The sequence below is a fragment of the Homo sapiens genome, chromosome 6 (genome assembly GCF_000001405.40).
Source record: "Homo sapiens chromosome 6, GRCh38.p14 Primary Assembly".
Lineage (NCBI taxonomy): Eukaryota > Metazoa > Chordata > Mammalia > Primates > Hominidae > Homo > Homo sapiens.
In genome coordinates, this window is record NC_000006.12 from 125705118 (window position 1) to 125728860 (window position 23743).

Sequence of the window (23743 nt, forward strand, 5' to 3'; positions counted from 1 at the left end):
TCAGTCTTCAGCCACTAAGCCAAGAAGATCTGGGAAGGAGTCAGTCAGAGAGCCTTGGGCCAGAGTTCCAGGGGCTCTGGAAGTGGCTGCCAGGTGAGTTGAACCGTCCGATTTTCAGTGGGGTCCCACACAGATGGGATGCGGCTTAGGAGGAATCCCGGGCTACGGGCATTCCTTGGCCCAGTGGCCAGATTTCTGGCACATGTAGCAAGCTCCTGGGGGAGGAGGTTCTGGAGGAATGCCTGGCCGCTGTGATTCAGGCGTTTGGAAGTTCTTGTGTGCTAGAGATGTGGCTGGGGTTTGTCTCACAGTGGAGGCAAGGAATTGCAACTTTTTTCTATTATTGTACACCTTGAAGGCGAGGTTAATTAAATCCTGTTGTGGGGTTTGAGGGCCGGAATTTAATTTTTGGAGTTTTATTTAATGTCAGGAGCAGATTGGGTAATAAAATGTATTTTGAGAATAAGACGGCCTTTTGACCTTTTAGGGTCTAGGGCTGTAAAGTGTCTCAGGGTTGCTGCCAAACAAGTCATGAACTGGGCTGGATTTTTATATTTGATGAAAAAGAGCCTAAACGCTATCTGATTTGGGATAAAGAAAAAGGAGCATTAACCTTGACTATGCCTTTAGCTCCAGCCACCTTTTTAAGAGTAAATTGCTGGGCGGGAGGGGGAGGGCTAGTCACGGAACGAAACTGTAAGCCGGACCAGGTGTGAGGAGGGGAGGTGATAAAAAGATTATAGGGTGGAGGAGCAGAGGCTGAGGAAGAATTGGGACCTAGCTCGGCCTGGCGAGGAGCAGCCTGGGGAGGAAGGGAGAGGTCAGATGGGTCTGTAGAAAAGGAAGATTAGAAAGACTCAGTGACGCTTGGGGTTGGTACTGAGGGGACAGGTGGGAGGGAAAGAAGGAAGATTTGGGATGAGTTGCACTGGGCCCAGAGACTAGGAAGGGACTGATATGTAAAAGAATGCCTGGACGTCAGGCACCTCAGACTGTTTGCCTATTTTACGACAAGAATTATTTAGATTTTGCAGGATGGAAAAATTCAAAGTTCAATTTTCTGGCTATTTGGAACTACTGTCGAGTTTGTATCAGGGTCAAGTGGTATTGCAGAAGAAAATAAGGCATTTAGGTTTTAGGTCAGGTGTGAGTTAAAGAGGTTTTAAGTTTTTGAGAACACAGGCCAAGGGAGTAGAAGGAGGAATGGAGGGTAGAAGGTTGCCCATAGTGAAGGAAGCAAGCCTAGAGAAAAGGGAGAGTAGAGAAACGAAGGGAAGGGGTTTGGGGGTTCTTACCTTCCAGAAAAGTGGGAAAAGGGGTTGGGGTGCAGAGATAAGAGGTTGGGGCATGGAAATAAGGGATGGGGCGCAGAAATAAGGGGTCGGGGCACGGAAATAAGGGATTGGGGCACAGAGATAAGAGGTCGGGGCACGGAAATAAGGGATTGGGGCACAGAGATATGAGGTTGGGGTACTTGCCCCTCCTCTAGAAAAGCGGGACTTGCCACTAAGAGTGAAGGAGAAGGGGTTGAGGGGTACTTGCCCCTCTCCCAGAAAAGCGGGACTTGCCGCTAACAGTGAAGGAGAAGGGGTTGAGGGGTACTTGCCCCTCTCCCAGAAAAGCAGAGAAGGGTAGAGACAAGGAGAGAAGGGGTTGGGGTACTTGCCCTGTCCCCGGAAAAGCAGAGAAGGGGTAGGGACAAGGAGAGAAGGGGTTGAGGTACTTGCCCCTTCCCCAGAAAAGTGGGACTTGCCGATAAGGGTGAAGGACCAAGGCAGGCGTCCCTGCGTGGTCTGACACTCTTGAAACGTGGGTGTATAATCAGAGAGGTGTCCCTGCAATGATTAAACACCAAGGGAAAGCTGCCTTCCCAGTCCGTGACTGGCACCGGAGTTTTGGGTCCATGGATAAAATGTGTCTCCTTTGTCTCTCCCAGAAAATGAAAGGAATTGAAATTAAGAGAAGGGAGAGATTGAAGAGTGGAAAGGAGAAAGTGGTTGAGGGACAGTGAGAGAGGTTGGAGAGGAGAGTAAGAAGAGGCCGCTTACCTGATTTAAAATTGGTGAGATGTTCCTTGGGCTGGTGGGTCTGAGGACCTGAGGTCGTAGGTGGATCTTTCTCACGGAGCAAAGAACAGGAGGACAGGGGATTGATCTCCCAAGGGAGGTCCCCCGATCCAAGTCACGGCACCAAATTTCATGCGCGTCCGTGTGAAGATACCACCAAACAGGCTTTGTGTGAGCAACATGGCTGTTTATTTCACCTGGGTGCAGGCAGGCTGAGTCCGAAAAGAGAGTCAGCGAAGGGAGATAGGGGTGGGGCCGTTTTATAGGATTTGGGTAGGTAAAGGAAAATTACAGTCAAAGGGGGGTTCTCTGGCGGGCAGGAGTGGGGGTCGCAAGGTGCTCAGTGGGGGTGCTTTTTGAGCCAGGATGAGCCAGGAAAAGGACTTTCACAAGGTAATGTCATCACTTAAGGCAAGGACCGGCCATTTACACTTCTTTTGTGGTGGAATGTCATCAGTTAAGGTGAGGCAGGACATATTCACTTCTTTTGTGATTCTTCAGTTACTTCAGGCCATCTGGGCGTATATACGTGCAAGTCACAGGGGATGTGATGGCTTGGCTTGGGCTCAGAGGCCTGACAGTTAAGGCCACAATTCACAAACACATGCTTTGTATGTTCAACAATCTCAGAGAAAATGGGGCCTCCAGGTTTGGGGTTTCTTACAAAAACAGCTCTTCTGCAATGACTTAGGGTTCCATGTGGTTGTGATATTCCCAGGATGAGGGACTAAGTCAATCCTGATGAAACTTTAAAAGATGCCACCAAGTCTAAGTGTTTCAAAGCCAACACTTCAACTGCTAAATCATTCCCTCTGTTTTAAGCAGTGATTATTTGATTGGCAAGGTGGGGGTGGAGAGAACTCCTTCACTAGTAATGCATATGGACATGTCATCTCAATGATTGCGTATGAAAGAGGATGGGATCTGGAGAAAACCTCCTGATTCATTCAGACACACAAATCATCCAAAGGAGGGGGTTACACCATTTTCTCTTGAACTAAAGTAGGAAGTTTCCTGTGCCATAATTGTATTTGTTATAGTGCGATGATCAAAGTCAATAAATTCCTCCATCTATTCCCATTCAGGGAAACCATATGGCATTACTAGGAGAATCACATGTAGTGCTGGTTTGTCGTATACATGATTAAATACCCATGGGGGAAGGAAACACTGGGGAGGGCAAAACTATTTAAAGGAAGAGACTAAAAGCATAAACTCCAAGATACATGTGAATACATATTCTACTTCTGTAAGCTCTAAAGTGGTAGATCTATACAGAAAACATACTGCAATATGACCATGAAAGGAAAAGAAGATAGATTCCTAAAAAAGAAAAAAAAGAAGATGATTTATCTCAGCAGCTGTAGAAATCATTTAGGTCTTCATCAGAAGTTAGGGGTTCTAGGAGGCAGATATATCCATTCTGAAGTCTACTGGTTATCAAAGACAGTCCTAACAGTTCTATCCTATTTTATTGCAAGGAAAATGTCACAATTTAGTGAAAAACAAGGAGGTAGCATTTTCTTACCTTTCAGATTGGTGAAGATTAAAATGTCTGATAATTCCCCAAATCAGCATGAATATGTATAAACCGGTATTGTTGGAGAGAATAAGTTTTCAGAAACGCAGCTTGACTACATTCATCAAAATTTCTAATTTATATAAACAATGGCCCCACAAGTCCTTGGCTAGGAATCTATCTTAAAGAGCAAGCACAAGATATGAAAAATATCTGCCAATGAGTATCTATTGTAACATTTTTTATTTTAGCAGAACGTAGAAGAAATCTGAATATCTCACAGTATAGGAGTGCCTAAATCAATTAGAATAATCAATGCAATAGAAGAATATGCAGCCAATAAGAAGAAAAAAGAAAGTAAACCTGACTTTCCAGTGTCCATGGTTTTTTTTTAGTCATAGAATATGAGTCTACTTGGATAAAAAGAAAAAAAGAGAAAAGAAAACTTTTAAAGCATAGGCATACCTGATCAATGTTTGTTTATACTGTACATTAAAGACTTTTGGAAATTTACATAAGAAATTATGTCTGTTGAGTGATACTAAGTAATATGAATAAGAAGTGGAAACTTGAAGGGAAAACAACTTTTGCTTTTCATTTTATACCCTTTGTTCTGTTTGACTTTAAATGAGTGTATATACTCATACAATTTTTGAAAGCTAACTTATAAGACATCAATTGTAGCTCAAAATTTTCTTATTTACTCTGCCTTTATTGAAGTACAATTTAAATATAATAAAATTCACCAATTTTAAGTGAATAATTCAATTAAGTATGACAAATGTATAGTCATGTAACCACTATCATTATCATAATATAGAATGTTTCCATCATCCCTTTACTTTTATCCTATCTGTGTCTTCATATAAAGTGGCTTTCAGCACAAAATTAAGTTTTGCTTCTCTTAATTCAATGACAATCTTTGACTTTTAATTGGAGTATTTAGACCTAAATTGTACAATATGATAGTCACTAGCCACATGTGGCTATGGAGCAATGAAATACAACTAGTATAAATTGCAATGTGATCAATTTTTTTAGATTCCACATATGAGATCTCATCAAAACAGAACTGAAAGGTGGTTACCAGAGGCTCAGGGGAAGGGAGGATGGGGAAAGAAAAGATGTTGATCAAAGGGTACAAAGTTTCAGTTAGAGTGGAGAAGTAAGTTTTAGTGATCTATTGCACTGCATGGTGACTACAGTTAATAATAATGTAATGCATATTTCAAAATTGCTAAAATAGATGTTTACCATTCTCACCACAAAAAAAATAAGTTGATGGACATGTTAATTAGCTTGATTCAATCTTTCAATAGTTTATACATAGATCAAAACATCACATTGAGAGGAGGTGGAGCAAATTGGCTGAATAGAAGCCTCCACTGATCCTCCTCCCCACAGGAACACAAAATTTAATAACAATCTACACACACAAAAAAAGACACTTTCATGAGAACCAAAACTCAAATGAGTGCTCACAGTACTTGGTTTTAACTTCATATTGCTGAAAAAGGCACTGAAGAGGGTAGGAAAGGCAGTCTTGAATCACTGACACTGCCCCTCTCCCAACCCTCAGCAGCAGTTGCATGTTGCAGAGAGAGAATCTGACTGCTTGGGGAGGGAGAACGCAGGAATTGTGGGACTTTTCATTGGTACACAGTGCTGCCAATACCATGCAGAACTCAACTGGTGCCCACAGAGGGAACATTTAAACCAGCCCTAGACAGAGGGGAATCACGCATCCCAGCAGTCAAAACTTGAGTTTCAGCAAGCCTCACCACTGCAGGCTAAAGTGCTCTAAGGTCCTTAATAAACATGGAAGAAGTTGAGGCCAAAAGGACTGCAACTCCTAGGCAAGTCCTAGTGCTTGTGCTGGGCTTTGAGCCAGTGGACTTTGGGGGCACATGACCTAGTGAGACACCAGCAGGGGCAGCTAAGGGAGTGTTTGTGCCACCCCTCTCCCAACTCCAGGCAGTGCAGCTTGCAGCTCCAAAAGAGATCCCTTCCTTCTGTTTAAAAGAGGAGAGGGAAGAGTAAAGAAGACTTTGTCTCGAACTTGGAAACCAGCTCAGCTGCACTATGATAGCACACTGGGTAGACTCTTGAGGCCTCCATTTCAGGCCCTAGCTCCCAGATGACATTTCCTGACACACCCTGGGCCAGAAAGTAACCTGCTACCTTAAGGGGAAAGACCCAGTCCTGGCAGGATTCATCACCTGCTGACTGAAGAGTCCTTGGGTCCTGAATAATCAACAGTGGTAGCCAGGTAGTACACAGTATGGGCCTTGAGTGAGACTCTAAGATGTGCTGGCGTCAAGTGTAGTGTAGATCTGCTGTTAGTAACTTCTTTTAACTTTGTATGTCTGAAAAAGTCTTTATCATTGTGTTCTTGAGTAATCTTTTCACTGGCAAAGAATTTGGGGTTGACCATTTTTTCTTTCAATTTAAAGACATTGCTCCACTGTCTCCTGGCTTGCATTGTTTCCAATGATAAATTAGTGGTCACGCTTATCTTTGTTTTTCTGTATTTAATAGGTCTTTTTTCTACAAACGACTTTTAATAATTTTGATTTATTGCTGGTTTTGAGTAACTTAATGTGATTATAATGTGCCCTAGTGTGGTTGTCTTCATATTTCTTCTACTTGAGATTCATTGAGCTTCTTAGACCTATGATTTACAGTTTTCAGCAAACGTAGAGAGATTTTAGCAATTATTACTTTAAATAATTGTTCTGTCATCCAGTTATTTGGGAGTCCAATTACACCTATGTTGGATAGCTCAATTTTTTTTTATACTGTGTTCCATGGGAGACTAATGCTTTGTTTACTTTGTAAAGTCATTTTTCTTCCTGTGCTTCATTTTGGATAGACTTTATTATGTCTTTGAGTTCACTAATTTTTTTCTTCTATGGTGTCTAACATGCAGTAATTACTTCCACTGTACTTTCTATTTCAAATTTTTTATCTTTCAACTGTAGAAAATCCACTTTTGGGTTTTTATATTTTCCATTTCTTTCCATATTGCATTTGTATTATCCTTAATCTTTTTAAATAGATAGAGCATATTTATAATAGCAGTTTTAGTGTCTTTATCTGCTAAGTCTATCTTCTGCATGATTTCTGAGTGTGTTTTTAATGATTGATTTATTTTCTCCTTATGAGTCACATTTTCCAGTTTCTTTGAATGTCTGATAATCTTTTGTTTGCATGACAGACCTAGAAAACATTATGTTGTTGGTTGCTGGATTTTTAAATATTCTTTTAGTATTGTAAAGCTTTTTCTGTGACAGCTACTGTGAATCAGTTTAGTTACAGTGAATTAGTTTGATTCTATCAATATTTGCTTTTATTACATGTTAGAATAGGTCTAGAGCCATTTTACTCAGGAGTTAATCTGGCTCTTTCTAAGGAATTTATCTAATGCCCATGTATCAGGAGATCTTTCCACTGTGGCTGGTAGGAACATGAACTATTCCCAGACTGTCTAAGCTCCAAGATTGTTCTACCTGTTCTTTGCAGCGATTCCTTCCTCAGCCTGGAATCATTTTCTTCTGTGCATACTCAGAAAAGTATTCCATCAAATGCTTGAGGAAACCCTTCTGCAAATCTCTGAAATTCCTTCTCACTCTCTTACTCAATTCTCTAATTTTGTTCTGCAATTTCTAGCCAGTTTGACCTTCATGAACTACAAAATCTGTCTTCTGGATAATTCAGCAAATTATCTAGGCCTTATTTGAGTTTTCTTTCCTGGATTGCAGCCTAGATACCCTCCCAAACAGTTAATTGTAGAAATCATAGAGTTCTCCTTGTTTCCTTTGTCTTGGGCACTGTCCCGAGCTATCTGCTGACCATGTTTGAAAACCATAGTTTCATATATATTCTTGGTTTTCTAGTTGTTTATGATGGAATGTATATCCAGTCCCTGTTACTCTATAACAGCCCATACAAAAATTTATAATTTGTAAATAAAAGAAATACAGAATACTGATAACACCAAAACTAGTTTACTTTTTTATGAGACTCTAGACTTAGGTTACCTTCTGGTCATTTTTCTAAAAATCACTTATTATAGTTCTTTAGAATAACAATTAATATATACAAACTTATAGAAGAGAATATTATATCTTTTCTTCACCCCATATCTCACCATCATCCTTGTATTAGTCCATTCTCATGCTGCTAGGAAGAAATACCCAAGACTGGGTAATTTATAAAGAAAAGAGGTTTAATTGACTTACAGTTCTGCATGGCTGGGGAGACCTGAGGAAACTTACAATCATGGTGGAAGGCACCTGTTCACAGGGCGGCAGGAGAGAGAATGACTGCCAACAGAGAAAATGCCAGATGCTTATAAAACCATCAGATCTCGTGAGAACTCACTCGCTATCATGAGAACAGCATGGGGAAACCACCCCCATGATTCAGTTACCTCCCGTTGTGTTTCTCCCATGACATGTGGAGATTATGGGAACTGAAAGATGAGATTTGTGTGGGGACGCAGCCAAACCATTTCAATTCTGGATAGAAACAGTATCTACAGACAATTGCTACAACCCTATTTTCACAGTTCTTCAAAGTGCTGATTATTTTTTGTTCACCCCAGGTCTGTTCTTTATGCTTCTCTTCTTCTTTCTGCCTTCCAGTTAGTTTTAACCAATAGAAGGCCCTACCAGGAGGTCCAAGGGTAGTAGCCAATGATCCCATCCCCACACGTTCTTTTCTAGCCAAAGTCTTAGTAATAGCTGCATTCATCTATTTATGGCCAGAGCTCCTAGGAGCACTCCCTTTCCCATAGCTACCACACTTGCCAGGTTCTAAAACACTACTCTCTCTACTTGATTCTTCAGGCCTAGGGGATAAAAATGACTTGGCCTGAAAATCACATCCATTACTGTGATTTTCTGGGTTTATCATTAGTTTTTGTTTTGCCCTACCCTCACCTCTATAAACAACTCAAAAAAAAAAATGCTCTCTTCAGCTATTTTTTTAGTGGATCATTTGTTTCCTGCTGGGGACTATGTGACCCCAGGCCACATTGTTCATGATCCACCTCTGAAATCATAAACCTAACATCCCAGTCTCTGACCACAATTTCCTATCCTTTCAGTTCTCTACTTCCCAGACTTTTAATCTGCCTGTTCTTTCTTGAATCCCTTGTCCAGTCTCTCCATCTCCTGCTCCTGTTTCTCCCAATCTTTCATCACTTTCTGGCTTTATTTTCTTCCCAATCCAGCCTACATTCTACAGCTGTTCATGTCACCCTCTCTTATGCCACTCCTTGATAGTTCTCTCTGTTTCAGTGAGTTCTGACTCAGCTTGGTTATCAAGATTTTAGAATAATCTGGGCCTTTATTTATAAAGAGCTGGATATTAGTAGGATAACCATTGACCAACCAGGTTGCTTTTGAGAGTGAAAAGAGCTCTTAATTATTGTACCAGGACAACAGGACAGTCCCAGATAAACTGGGCATATGACCACCTATCTCTCAAGTCATTCAAGAGCTATTCTAACTCTAGAATGCTGTGTTATATTATACATGTTAAAACGGATCTCAGATTTTTCTAGAGTCTCAAGCTTGCTGATTACAGTATGTTCTGCTTAGTAAACATAACAAAACATTTGGGAAAAATAAAAGGAAGCATAATAAAACAAAGACATTGAGGTGGAAGCTGTGAACAGTAAAGACCGTACCAAAAAAAGAAGATTCACAAAACATGCTTCCTTCCAAACATTAGGCTCATCAGACAGTTGCATGAAAGGAAAGGCCCTGATTTTTATGACAAGCAAGTAGAAGCAAACCCACAGAACAATCTATCCATTTGGGTATAAATGGAAAATCTAGTGCCCTCCTGCCTTCTTGTCCTTTCACTTCCATTTTCAGTTTTCATTTTCACACCCCACAGAAGCTGATGCTGTGCCCTATGCACTGACTCCTATCCCACAACAAAAAGACTTCCCCAACTGAATAGGCATGGTTGCCATGGCAGCTAGGGGGTCATAAACTCCTGAGCTGTGGGTCCTGGCACAATTCCACGCATTATCTGCATCCTGGTGCAAATCAGTCCCTTTATCTAATTAGTAGCCTTACAAATAGCCACCTGCCCCAAAGCTTAACCATTAAAGATGCAATATTGGCTGAATAGCTTGAGACCAGAGGTGAGGATATCAGAAAACTGAAAGCTGATCTGAGTGAGGCCCTATCTCTCCTGGCTACTGACACCTGTGAGCCCTAGCCCACCCACATACCAGGAGTTCAGAAGGAGACCAAGAACAAATCACTTCTGTCTTCTTTTCGTGACTCACCTTGGGTGTCTTCTGATGCACTGGCCTCCCAGAAGCTGGGCCTGCTGACCTCTGTCTAAAGGACCTGGTTCATCATTCCTGCTTAGATGCCCAACCCTTCCCTGCCTGAGAACTTCCTCCCTAAGAAGTCCAGCCCTGTCTCTCTCTCTCTAGAACTTCATCAACTGCCCTGGCCTGTTGTAGTTCACTACCTGATCTGGATCCTTCAGAACTATCTCTTGATTTACTCCAAAGACTGACTCCTCTGTGACTTGATTAAATGCTAAAACTTTCTCTTGCTAGTGAGACTATATCCCAGATTCAAATTATTTAGATGTTTTTCAGGTTCATCTCTTTTCCTTCCAGTAAAGAATTCTAAAAACAAACACCACAATTATTTTTTCAACATTCCCTATATAGAGGCAAATATTCTCCTACATTTATTTTACAGATAATGATTAACTGAAACTTTAAAAAAAAGTGACATCAATGCACTCTGAAAGTGTACAATGTGGTGAATCTGCCTTTTGCATCCTGAGCTGAATTCCAAAAATGCTATTAAGTGTAGGCAAAAGGTGAAAGCAGAGAATGGGGGAAGAGTCCAGCTTCAATTTTACAGTTGATGCTGTGGCGCCACCTTTGAGTGTTTCTATCCATTATGAGATAAAAAAAGAGGACTCTAATGTGATATATCTACCTTCTGAAATTAAAATATACTAAAAATCTCACCCAATTTTCTCCTTTATGCTGAGTATTTGTTCCATATATACATGAGTACATGTCTCACTATAATTTTATTGTCATGTAATAACTTTGAAATGTTTCCTTTTTATTGTTATACTATGGTTTATGACAATGAATAGCCAATAGAAACTAATTAAACTAGGAAATAATGATCCTTACTATGCTGGCAACAATTCAGTAAAAAAAACTATAGAAAAAAACTTACAGGTAGAAAATCTTTACAAAGTATTTTCATCTATTCTTTTGTTAGTGCAAGCTATGGTTTTCTTTTGCTTCACTATCAGATTAGTCCCTCTGGTTTGAAATGATATCAAGCAGCAGGGCTTCTTATATTTCCTTAGAGATGCTATTCCAGAGGTTAGCAGATCTAGCCAATATGGGCTCCTTGATATTCAGCTATAGCCTCTTTTCTTGACATTTTCATTGTTCTTATTTATTAATTCATATTTTTAAATAAAATATCTTCAATGCCTATGAAAAGAAGTGTTTTGAATATGTGTAAGCAAAAATGAAGCCAGGTCAACATTCCCTCCCTGCCCACTGTGACTTCTCAGGCCATTCCAGGAGCAACCAGATTAAATACTTGTGCTCTGAACCAAAGCCCAAAGGCCATTGTTTAGGTTTCTTTTGAGAACAGGAGGAACTACAATCTCAAAAACAAGAGCTATCTTTGTGAAAATTTCTACTTTTCTTCTCTAAGCCTCTTAAGTGAGAGTTATTAATCAATCATCACCATATTCAACATAGGTTGAAATATTTGTGCATTTATCTTCTTGGCCACTCTCTAAGAATTTTTACCTGGGGTTCAATGTAATCTTATTAAACAAAAGTTTTCAGTGCATAAGGAGGTGATGCCTTTCTGATGTGAAACATCTGATTGCTTTCCAGACTGTAAATTCTAGGAGAGTAGGGACAGTCCATTTCTATTTTTTCTTTTCCTTTTTGTTCCCCCCACAAGCTGGAGTGCAGTTGGGTGACAGAACGAGTCACTGCAGCTTTGACCTCCTAGGCTCAAGCAATCTTCCCACCTTGGCATCCCAGTAGATGGGACCACAGGCACACGTCACCATGCTGGGATAATTTTTTTGATTTTCAGTAGAGACATGGTCTTGTTAGGTTGTGCAGGCTGGTCTCGAATTCCAGAGCTCAAGCAACCCTCCCACCTGGGCCTCCCAATGTGTTGGGATTACAGGTGTGAGCCACCATTCTTGGCCCAGGACAGTTCATTTATTAATCTCCATTCCATTCTTGTAAGCAGATGTTTATAACAGGGACAAAGTGTTCAATGACCTCTTCATTGTTTAGGTACTATGAAGAATAGCAAGTTAAAATTCTGTGGCTTTTGAGAATTAAAAAATTACCACTTATATTCCCAGTAACCTCTTAATAATATAAACCATATTATCATCAATTAATGGGGAAAACAGTGTTTGGGCTTCATACAATAATGAAAAAGATATGCTCACTGAACCTGTTACTTTAAAAATTAATGAAAATAAAAATTTCCCCAACAACCATTATACTGAAAGGACACTCAATTTGAAACTTGTTGAGTTATTCAGAGGCAGTTGTGTAAGCCTAAAATTCATCACTCAGAAACACCTGAGATAATGTAATTTCTCATGTAAGTGGTCTTTGGGATGTAGCTTTTGACTTAAAGATGAACTTCACAACTTGACAAATTTATTTATTATTATTATTATTAAACAGAATTTTTTTTTCCAGACTGTCTCATCCTCCTCTGCAAATCCAACAGAAAGGACACAGTAGAGTGGGCAAGAATGCAAAGAAGGTCTGTGGTTTGGAACTGGCCCAAGCCGAACTAAACTTTTCTAAATATACATTAAACTGTCAACAAAGAGCACCGTGACCCACAGCCTGAATAAAGGGAGAGCCCCAAGGCCCTCTGAAGCCACTAGTTCTGTGAGTTGTTTTAGGGAGAAGACAGACAACCAAGAATTATTTACCTTATTAGACTGTGCCCATCCAAGCCCAGGTAAAACTTTTTGATCAGCAGAAAACTGGAATTATTTCCCTTTCTCTATCCTGGATTGAGTGTGAATTCCCCAGAGAAACTTGGCTTTGAGAGCACTAGCTGGACATATAGGGGTCCATTTCCAATCTGCTCTGAGAAGGGCCCTGTCTTCATCCTAAAGGAAGGCTTTAGAAAACTGTTATCTAAGATCTAGGATTGAAGATGGTGAGAACCTGAGGCTGAGCAATTGGCCCCAATTCTTCCTGAAGCATTATCTGAGAGAGAGAGCCTAGCCTGTGGTTTTTGACCCCTGGCAGAAGGGTGGAGAGAGGGAAGAAGAAAGAAGGAAGATGAAGACAACTTCCTGCTCAAGACCAACCCATCTCCCCTCATTCTGGGGTGACCAATTGAGAAAACAATGATATCTCCCTTACTCTCATCTGTTTCCAAAGGCTTTGCTTCATCTACCAAAAAACCGTGTGAGTGAGAACCATCTACCCTCATGTGCTTATTAAGCTCTTAGAGTCATTCTCTGGTGACTATATTGATTCATTTATTTGTACTCTAGGAACATAAAACAATATGGCATTATTGACACAGAAAACAAAGAATAGACAGATAGCATACAGCTGAACAACTTTAATTACCAGGGTTCCAGTGTCTGTTTAACTAGCTGTGTAAATATGAGTATTTGAATTAATTTTTCTAGGATCAATTTCCTTACTTCTAAATGAGAAAGACGAGGCCAAAAGTTCTTAACCTTACTTCTGGCTTTACAACTGAATGGTTCTCTGTTCCTAATAATGAGTTCCTTTTTTTTTTTTTTTTCTGAGACGAAGTCTCGCTCTGTCACCAGGCTGGAGTGCAGTGGCACAATCTTGCTCACTGCAACCTCTGCCTCCCGGGTTCAAGCAATTCTCCTGCCTCAGCCTCACGAGTAGCTGGGACTACACGCGCCTGCCACCATACCCAGCTAATTTTTGTATTTTTAGTAGAGACAGGGTTTCACCATGTTGGCCAGGATGGTCTTGATCTCTTGACCTCGTGATCCGCCGGCCTCGGCCTCCCAAAGTGCTGAGATTACAGGCGTGAGCCACCGCGCCTGGCCCTAATAATGAGTTCTTATGAATGGTATATGTACGCCAAATAGAAAGCATGCTAATAGCTAAGAAGGAATCGTGAAGGATAATGAGAATTTGCTGCCTTTTCTAGTCATTCTAGAGGAATTTATAAATAAATAAAATGGTTTGATATGTAAGAATATCTGCTGAGCCAAACAGTGCACACTTCTTAGACATAAGTTGTAGCCAAGGCAATAAAGCTTAAGGATGGAATAGAAGCATTAAGGAAAATTTTCCTAGAAAGGAAAAAAATGGAGGCAGAAAGGGTGGGAAAGGCAGACAGAAGTCAACTCATAGGAAGCAGAGAGATAAAGAGCTTTGAAATATAATGTGAGGACCTAGACATATTTGAGAAGAGAGGTACTGGTCAAAACAAAGGACAGAGATGGCAGAAGCCCACAGGAAACTTATGGCCAATGGTAGCAGTCAGTGAGGATGAGTAGGGTAGTAATAATATATTATAACTAATTACTGCCATTTATTGATCACTTACTAAGTATTAAAATTATTTGTTAGGAAATTTATAAATACCTTGTCTCCTTTCTAGAACTCTCTCCAAAGGATATGGTCATATTCATCATATAGATAAGTAAACTAAGGCTCAGGAAAAATGACTTCCTCAAGGGCAAACCCAGGTCTGTCTGTGCTATTTTTACTATACCGTTGCTATTTGTCCATGAACAGGAAAAACCCTCAACTAGGGCCTTGAGCAATCAAGAATTATTGGAAGGAAAAATCGTTACAGGTAACCACTGATAAATCAGATGGAACAATCACTTTTTGAGCAAAGGGATTGTGTCCTCTTTATCTGCGTGTTCCCTGCATTTAGCCCAGGGTCTAGCAACTTGTGATAGACAAAGATGTGTTAGATCCCCCTTCAAAAAAGGACTTGCTGCTCAGCTGCTGGGGTGCAGTCAGCCTCCAGCCTCCAATCAGCTCTGTAAGAGCTGGCCTCAGCTGTAAATAAAAACTGCTTCATTTCAGGTCATGCTGGTATCCAATAACTGAGAAAGGAGTTGGGGGTAGGGGCAAAGAGGGGAGAGTGAAGGGGACAAAGGCCTGAAGCTAATCAGGGACCCCTCTGATGGCCAATTCTGACTCCAGAGCTCCCTATCAAGTGGGCCAAGTTCTTCTCAGCCCTACTCTGGATAGTGACTTCTCCCTTGGCCCAATTCTGTCTCTACCCACTCCTTTTCACAGGTGTTGATCCCTAATGAATATCCGGCACCCCGCATTCCATCTCGGTGACTGCTTCCAGAAAACACAAGCTGTGACATGCCCATTATGTACTCAATAAATCTTTAATAATTGAGTGGATAGAGTGATGTGAGTTGAGAAGCATTATTAAAGATTATTTTCCCAAAAATAAACAAAAAAAATGTGCCCATTGGCTGGTGACTAGAATTCTACAATTAGAGGTTTATTCCTTTGTCTTAATGCTTCTGCTTTTGTAAATACCCCCGTAATAAACGCATGTTAAGTTTATTAGACACCTATTCCCCAGTGTAAACAAAGTCCTGGAAGCACATTCTAACAGGAAGAGAGAGGGAAAAAAGTATGAGAGCACCAATGGACAAACATCAGGAGCAAGTTACCTGGATTCAGTCCTGGTTCCACCACTTGCTAGATCTGTGTCATTAGACCAATCAATTGACCTCTCTGTGCCTCCGTTTTTGTTCCTGTAAAATGGGAACAATAACTGTAACTACTTCCAAGTATTGTTATGAAAATTGAATGAGTTAAAATATAAAAATGTTAGAGACTAGGGAATATGAGACTAGTCAATGAATGTCTAGTGGAGACAAGAAAAAGTGAACAAAATTATACAAGTGCTATTAATAATACAGTCAGATTTATATATTTTTTCCATCACACTGACCTCCAATCCAGGCTGGGAAATGGGTTTTTTAAATCTCTTGCGTGTTTTCCATCACTTGAACTACCATATTGTTTTACAATTATTTGTCTTGTGTCTACTGCCACCCTTACCTCACCACTGTGAGATCCTTAGAGGTAAAATATTCTATCTTATTCATCCTTATATCCCCTTCCATTCATCCATTTATTCTTTTTTTCTAACTTTTAAGTTCATAGGTACATGTACAGGTTTGTTACATAGATAAACTTGTGTCACGTGGATTTGTTGTACGGATTATTTCATCACCTAGGTATTAACTCTAGTACCCATTAGTTATTTTTCCTGATCCTCTCCCTCCTCCCACTCACTACCCTCCAGTAGGCCCCAGTGTGCGTCATTCCCCTCTATGTGTCCATGTGTTCTCATCACTTAGCTCCCACTTGTAAGTGAAAATATGTGGTGTTTGGTTTTCTGTTCCTGTGTTAGTTCGGTAAGGATAATGACCTCCAGCTCCATCCATGTCCCTGCAAAGGACATGATATCATTCTTTTTTATGGCTGCATGGTATTCCATGGTGTATATGCACCACATTTTCTTTATTCAGTCTATCATTAATTCATATGTTCATTCATTAAATAAATATTAAGTGCACATCGTGGACTAGACCCTCCTCTGGCATTGGAATAACACAGTAAACAAAGTTCCTGCTCTCTTGGAGCTTATATGTGGAGCATTTTTATGGACAGTAATAAAATACATAAATATTCATGAGATTATCCAGTGAAAAGTACTGTAGAAAATTATTCCTGTGCAAGGCTCAGAGTAGATTTTCAATAAATTTTGGTTAAATTAATGCATTTGTCCAAAAGAAAAGAGAAATAAGAGCCAAAATGCTAATAAAAGACATTTGTGTTGTTCCCTCTGCTCGATGCAGAATGAAAGAGCTCTGCGGGAAACAGCAGGCTGGGATGGGGGGATTTTTTTTTACCTTTTACAGCTCAGCCATTCAGAAGTTGAGTAAAGTGAAGCCAAGTTAGCCAAACACAGAGGGGCAAAACATGGGATCATTTCAAGGTAAACATTATTTCCTTATATGTACTACTATAGTGCTGCTTGCACAAAAATTTTTACTCTCTTTTTTTTCACGCCTGTGATAATAGAAAGATTCCATCACAGCAGCATAAAAGCTCAAACTTTCCAGTGAATCTTTTGACTAATTATTATTGTTGCAATAACAGGCAAACATGGCATACCCATTCCAGTCACCATAGTGCCGCTCTCATTCTCACTCTTCAGGTCTTTTATAGTATTGAGGATTTCTTTAAGAAAATTAAATTGGCACATCCACTCTCACATGCAACAATTCACAAATTCAGCCTATCCTTAGTCACCTGAATTAGTGAAGGAAAATATCTCCTACCATTGATTGAACAGTTAAATAACAATAAACTGCTTCAGAATTTTTTTTTAATTGAGATAGAGTTTCACTCTTTGTTGCCCAGGCTGGAGTGCAATGGCGTGATCTCGGCTCACCGCAACCTCTGCCTCCCGGGTTCAAGTGATTCTCCTGCCTCAGCCTCCCAAGTAGCTGGGATTACAGGTGTGCACCACCATGCCCAGCTAATTTTGTATTTTTAGTGGAGACGGGGTTTCTCCATGTTGGTCAGGCTGGTCTCGATCTCCTGACCTCAGGTGATCCACCCGCCTTGGCCTCCCAAAGTGCTGGGATTACAGGCGTGAGCCACTGTGCCTGGCCAGAATATTTTTAGTCTATTCATATAAATACCTTGATATAGAGAAGCTCTTTAAAAAATTTTTTCCTTTAATGTCTCTCCCCTGAGAATGGCCTTAAAATTTAAACATAGTTTCCAAAATACAGTGTATTTGTTTCTATTCAGAAAATTGTATAGGTTTTAAATTAGAGTGTCTTATCCAAAGCACATGAGATTGGAAGAAGGCAAAAACACTCTAAAGACCTTGTGCATACCCATAGCTGCTCTGTTCTCACTGTTGGAGCAATAGAAGGTGATGCTTTTGTTATCTTATTTATCCTCAAAATCCTGTCCGACTCTCTATATCCATCCTTATCATGACCACACCATCACCCCTATGTCATTCCCTATCCATCCAATATCTCCTTCCATAAATGCACATCTTTGCTCCCTCTTCCATGATACCAGGTGTTGAAAGGGGAAAAAAAGTTATTTATTTCCTAATTCTATACTCTGTTATTTAAAATCCCTCCCCTTTTACCCTTCTTCTCACCCACTCACCACATCTCCAACTCACCTTTGACCACCACACTTCCCTTGCCATTTCATTACTAACTTGGCCCAAGTCAGAGGAATGATTCATGGAATCATAAAACTCAGAGTAGAAGAGACCTTAAAGGTCAGCTAATTCAATCACCCAACTAAGTGGAAAATCCAGCTCTTATATTTATTCTTTCTTCCTTGACTTCCCAAATTCAATTGCAAACATTAGACCAGTGTCTATAGTTGTTAGGAAACTTTCTGAGTTGGATATTTTTTTAACCAAGGTAAATTCCCCTCTCTCTGAGATGGCTTAGCTAGAGAGAGTCCTGTGAATGGTAAACAATGAATTACAGATAAGGAAATTTCCAAGTAGAGAATCAATGATTTTGAAACCTACAATTCCCTGAACATAGAGTTGGTCACTCTAAAATAATGTTCAAAGGTGAGCATATTTATTTCATAAATATTCAATTTATTCCATGGGATAACTAAGTATTATTCTATTAAACAGCATTGTCATAATAGAAAGCACACAGGTAGACCCAAAAGATAGTTTATAATAAAAGTGCCCCTCAAGGGTCCAGAAAAAATACAGACTTTTAAATAATGGTGCTGAGACAACTGGCTAGCCATTTAGAAAATGATTAGATCTTTACCTGATATCATAAGAATAAATTTCAAATAAATTAAATATCTAAATGTTAAAAAAATGAAATTCTGAAAGTACCAGAAGAAAACATGAAGGGATTTCTTTTTAACATGAGTGTAGGCAAAAGCTTTCTAATGTCTCAAAATCCAGATGCAATTTAAAAAACATTGATAAGTATGACTATCTAATTTTTAAATAGCATGACAAAAAAACATAAAAAAGCAAAATCAAAAGACAATCAAAGAACTAGAAGAAAATATCTGCAACATATATCATTCATACATATATAAAACCAAAGGCAAAAAGGTTTAATAAGATAAATAGGATAAATGTTAGTTAAAATCACAATGAGATAATATTTCTCATCTATCATATAGTAATTATAGGTGAGGTGCTCTCATACATTGTTGGTGGGTATGCACAAAACTCTTTATGGACAGGGATTTGCAATGTCTAACAAAATGGCATATGTCTACCTTTTGACCCAGCAATCCTACTTCTAGGAATTTACCTTGAAAATATACCTCCAACAACACAAAAATATGTCTGCACAATATTATTCAAATTATTTATTGCAGTATTGGTTATAATGGTAAAATATTGGGAACAACCTACATGCCCATTTATAGGAGAGTAGTGACATAAACTATGGTATATCCACACAACGGAGTACTACACAATTATAAAAAAAGAATGAGTAAGATCGGCCGGGCACGGTGGATCATGCCTGTAATCCCAGCACTTCGGGAGGCCGAGGCGGGCAGATTGCCTGAGGTCAGGAGTTCAAGACCAGCCTGGCCAACATGGCAAAACCTCGTCTCTAGTAAAAATACAAAAATTAGCCAGGCATGTTGGCAGGAGCCTGTAATCCCAGCTACTCGGGAGGCTGAGGTGGGAGAATCACTTGAACCCAGGAGGCAGAGGTTGCAGTGAGCCAAGATAGCACCATTGCACTCCAGAGCCTGGGCAAAAAGAGCAAGACTTTGTCTCAAAAAAAAAAAAAAGAATGAGTAAGATCTTTATGAACTAATATGGAATGACTTCCAGAATATATTGTTAGTTGAAAGAAGTAAAGCATATCTATAGTAAGCTATTTTTATGTAAGAAAAAGAGGAATTTAGAAAATACACATATGCCTAAAGGCAGATACAGCAAAAACTAAGTAAAAAGAATAATAGGAAAGGTGGAAAATGACACCCCTTTTTATATAATCCTGACTTGTAAACCGTTTAATGTTTCACACGCTGAAGAAGGTAAAGATGGGGGAGAGACCTCAAAAAGGGAACATAAACAGGCCAGGCGCGATTGCTCACACCTGTAATCCTAGCACTTTGGCAGGCCAAGGCAGGTGGATCGCTTGAGGTCAGGAGTTCGAGACAAGCCTGGGCAACATGGCAAAACCGCGTCTCTACAAAAAATACAAAAATAGCTGAGTGTGACGGGGTGCCCCTATAGTCCAGCTACTTGAGGGGCTAAGGTGGGAGGATTGCTTGAACCTGGGAGATCAAGGCTGCAGTGAGCTGAGATCGTGCCACTGCACCCCAGCCTGGGTGACACAGTGAGACTCTGTCTCAAAAAAAAAAAAAAAAACGAAAGGAACATAAACAAATGAATGAACCAAATGGGACCAGGGAGGGCTAACTCAAGGAACTTTTGAGCGGAATATTTGGACTGTATACCTTCAGGCTAAAGACAAAAAGAATTGATAACAATTACAGAAAAAAAAAGAAAAAAAAAAAAACAATTACAGAAGTCCAATCAGTGGGTTTTTTCTCACAGGCATATGAGTTATCAATTTTGAAACTACATTCTGTATATGCCAGGATTAGGCAAATAAGTAAATATATTACAATCAATGGGAGTCAGCTTTCTCACTGTCAAAAGTGTTACAAATATGAACAGGAGGAAGGCTTTGATCTCTGTGGCTTTGACTAGAAATTGGAGGTATTAGTACGAACTTAAGATTATACATTTTGTTTCTGTGTGTGTGTGTGTGTTGTGTAATTCCATTTCCCAGCTCTGTCTGCTGAGAAGGCCTAGAAGAAAAGACACTCATACTCCCCTTAAAATATATCCAGGGCAGGGAAAGTACAACTTGAGTCTGGAATATCTTTTTGTGCCGGAAAGTAAGAAAGTGCTCAAAGACACCAACATGGCACATGTATACATATGTAACAAACCTGCACATTGTGCACATGTACCCTAGAACTTAAAGTATAATAGTAAAAAAAAGAAAAAGAAATAATAAGCCAAAAAAAAGAAAGTGTTCAAAGAATTGTGGGTACATAAGAAAAAGCCAAAAAGCCATGTTAAAGGGCTTCCCATTAGTCAAATCTTGGAAATTTGAGTATCAAAATAATAATGACAGTAACTGATTATAACTCATTGAATAAAATAAGAATCCGTAAGTTCATAATGAGCTACCTACACACACATACATACATACATGCCTATAAAAGAAGAGAAAGCTCCTTCTTACAGTACAAAGCAAATTAATAAATATGAAAAGAATGATGAACTTGTAAAGTCATCATTTAGCAACGATGGTTGTAATAATTGATTCAGACAAGAATCATTCATGGATGCTAAACTAGAATGTGTAAATTTGATGAGCAACAGGATATCTACATAGTCTCAAAGTTTCTCTCTCAAATATGTATTAATTGCAATGGAAAAAAAATAGTAGTAACTATTTAGTGGAGAAATCTGGCAGAAACCACCTTAACCAAATGATTAAACGTCATCAGTAATGGTACCTTTCAATATCGTGTACCTTCTAAGACAAGGCACTGAGAAGGGCACAGCATTACTTCTGTGGAATTCCTGCCAAAATGTGTAACCTGAATCTAATTACGAGGAAACATCAGACAAATTCAAATTGAGGAACACTCTACAATATAGCTGGCTGTACACTTCCAAAACGTCAGTACCATAAAACACAAGGAAAGATTGAGGAATTATTCCAGGTTAAAGGAGACCAAACTTAATGCAATGTGTAATCCGTTGTTGTTGTCATTTGTGTTTGTTGTTTATAAAAGGGAATTATTGGAACAAGTTGAAAAATCTGTGTAACAGTCATGTATTAATGTTAATTTTCTGATTTAATATTACACTTGGTTATATAAAAGAAGGTTCTTGATTTTAGGATATAGACCTGAAATATTTACAGGTAAGTGGCATCATGTCAGCAACTTTTAATTTTCATCTTTTTGAGAACGTACAGGTCTGAAATTATGTGAGCATAAAAATTTTAAAGAAAGAAACTATATTATCTTCATGTGGTTGATTTCCTTCACTATGTATTTGGCAGTTATCACGTGCTCTCCACTCTATTTCCTTTTGTGTTTCATTCTTCATTTCTTTCATTCTTGTGTCTCCCACCCGCTCATTCTGGTAACAAAATTGAGAGTTTGGGTAGCATGGGCAGCTTTTGATTCTCCTCACTCAGATGTAAAAAGCAGACATATTTCCATTTTTGTTCAACATTTCCCAAGCCCATCTTCATATACAGTAGCAGTTTTTATAGGTACATACGCTGCTTTCATTATATCATCCACCAAAGGTGGCTGCAAGAATATAATGGGGGACCTTTGGGTCAATTCCAGCCCTTTCAATGAATCTATATAAAGCAAACTGGCCATTCCAAAGCAGAAACACTTACAGACCTGTATAATTGGTTCAAAGAAGACAAGAGGAGACCAAAATAGGTACATTTGTACCTTTTTAAAGTATCTACATTCTTGAAGATGAGCTTGTGTCTACTATATTTAAGTTGTTAAGCAAATGTGTGATTCATGTATTCATTCAGAAGGCCTTATGGAAAAACTAGTCCTTGCCAAATTTTATGAATAAGTGCTGTAGATCTCAAAGCTAAGTAAGGAAATGTTCTTCTTCTGGAACAGCATTTTTAAGAAAGAACAAAGTGGTAAGTGCTATAAATGAGTTGTATACTATATATTATGGAAAGACAAAAGAAAACACAACTAACTTTACAAGACTTGGTATTAAATCACAGAAGCAGGAGTCAAAAAAGCCATAAAGCAAACCTGGGCTAACTGGCTTTGCCAGACCCAAATCCTAAATGTTGTCTGTGATTTTCCTGACCAGTGAACATGAGGCGGGGTGCAGCATCCAGCCCTGTCTCCTCAAATTGACTCACAGGCAGAGGCAGGGGAAAGGTAAGTCCCCAAGGTGGGGAGAAATTTCAGCAGAGCAGCAGAGCTTCTGGACTTCTACCTTCTCCCGTTCAGACTTCCTCAACTTTATTTCTTTGAAATGTAGACTTGCCACATATTTCATTACATGCTATTTTATTTGATAAAAATGTGAGTGCTAAAATAATTGAAAACTGAACATGAGTTTTAGCATATGATCTCTCATATGGGTAGGGGAGGAGGTGTTTCCAATTGGAAGGTAATTCAACACTTGGTATCTAGGTACACAAAAAGATTGTTTAAAGAGGCTGTGCTCATAAGAGTTGGTTTATGTAAAAGAGTATTTACTGCTGCAACATTCCAAAGAGTGAAACATTGATATAACTTAAACATCCAGCCATATGATTAGATAAATCCTATATCGTGCCATCTTAAGAAGACATTTTTAAAGGAGGCAGATTTATATGTGCTGATATAGAAGACTGTCCCAGGTATGTTGTCAAATATACATGCAATTTTATTAGCATTGCAATGCTAATGTAGTACAAATCTCAGTTTACAAACTCAAATGCACAAGAAATGTAACTTGGCTAAGATAATGAGCTTATTTTCTATTTTAACTCAATTTTTCTGTGATGATAGAAATTTAATTCCTAATGTGTTTGAGTTCCAGGAAAGTTTCTATAGCACCAATATGGGAGCAAGGGGACATCTTGTCCTTGGTCTTGTCATCTATCACTCATGTCCTCAGATAGATTCTCCAGTCTGGTCACCCATCTTAGGATCATGCAAGTCATTGTTGTGTCCTCCTCTTCCCAGGTGTGGCTTTCTCAGCTTTTTTCATGCGCTTCCAAGAGTCATTTCATTCATGCTAGGCTGCAGGAAATTCTGAGTATTTGTCTAAGTCCCAGTAGGTCTCAACACACTCTACTGCCTTGTCTCCTGCTCCTAAGGCCTTGCCACCACCCCTGCCTGAAGGTCTACCGGGAAAGCAGACACAACCTCTCTACCCTCAGATTCTCTAAGCATGCTTCAGTCCGTCTCTCCACTACCAAGTTCCTCTAAGTTGGGAAAACAGGGCAGAGGACCTTCTTTCTCAGGAATGCACAAGGAAGC

The 23743-nt window shown here is 39.4% G+C and overlaps 2 long non-coding RNA genes across 12 annotated transcripts in view, besides 5 other annotated features; one reads left to right on the plus strand and one right to left on the minus strand.

Annotated features, from left to right (window-relative positions):
• The window catches only part of LINC02523 (long intergenic non-protein coding RNA 2523), a 45866-nt gene extending 30765 nt beyond the window's left edge, over positions 1-15101 (plus strand). The window contains exon 4 of the long non-coding RNA NR_038906.1: positions 12341-15101. This is a non-coding gene — a long non-coding RNA (long intergenic non-protein coding RNA 2523). The remainder of the gene's footprint in view (positions 1-12340) is intronic.
• HEY2-AS1 (HEY2 antisense RNA 1) overlaps positions 1-23743 on the minus strand; it is a 171898-nt gene that overhangs the window by 127590 nt on the left and 20565 nt on the right. For 9 of the 11 annotated variants that reach the window (NR_183491.1, NR_183490.1, NR_183500.1 and 6 more), the window contains one exon: positions 15307-15390. This is a non-coding gene — a long non-coding RNA (HEY2 antisense RNA 1). Of the gene's footprint in view, positions 1-13123; positions 15391-23743 lie in introns of those variants that run through there. The other 2 variants (NR_183492.1, NR_183496.1) reach the window with 1 other exon arrangement.
• Positions 1980-2526: an enhancer, noted in NCBI's record as "OCT4-NANOG-H3K27ac hESC enhancer chr6:126028243-126028789 (GRCh37/hg19 assembly coordinates)". NCBI's record gives its function as "activates a minimal SCP1, AML or CMV promoter by ChIP-STARR-seq in naive and primed H9 embryonic stem cells {active_cell/tissue: H9 hESC(naive and primed)}" and the evidence as "EXISTENCE:reporter gene assay evidence [ECO:0000049][PMID:30033119]".
• Positions 2527-3072: an enhancer, noted in NCBI's record as "OCT4-NANOG-H3K27ac hESC enhancer chr6:126028790-126029335 (GRCh37/hg19 assembly coordinates)". NCBI's record gives its function as "activates a minimal SCP1, AML or CMV promoter by ChIP-STARR-seq in naive and primed H9 embryonic stem cells {active_cell/tissue: H9 hESC(naive and primed)}" and the evidence as "EXISTENCE:reporter gene assay evidence [ECO:0000049][PMID:30033119]".
• Positions 12355-12554: an enhancer, noted in NCBI's record as "active region_25027". NCBI's record gives its function as "activates an Ori minimal core promoter by ATAC-STARR-seq in GM12878 lymphoblastoid cells {active_cell/tissue: GM12878}" and the evidence as "EXISTENCE:reporter gene assay evidence [ECO:0000049][PMID:35858748]".
• Positions 12595-12654: an enhancer, noted in NCBI's record as "active region_25028". NCBI's record gives its function as "activates an Ori minimal core promoter by ATAC-STARR-seq in GM12878 lymphoblastoid cells {active_cell/tissue: GM12878}" and the evidence as "EXISTENCE:reporter gene assay evidence [ECO:0000049][PMID:35858748]".
• Positions 12685-12764: an enhancer, noted in NCBI's record as "active region_25029". NCBI's record gives its function as "activates an Ori minimal core promoter by ATAC-STARR-seq in GM12878 lymphoblastoid cells {active_cell/tissue: GM12878}" and the evidence as "EXISTENCE:reporter gene assay evidence [ECO:0000049][PMID:35858748]".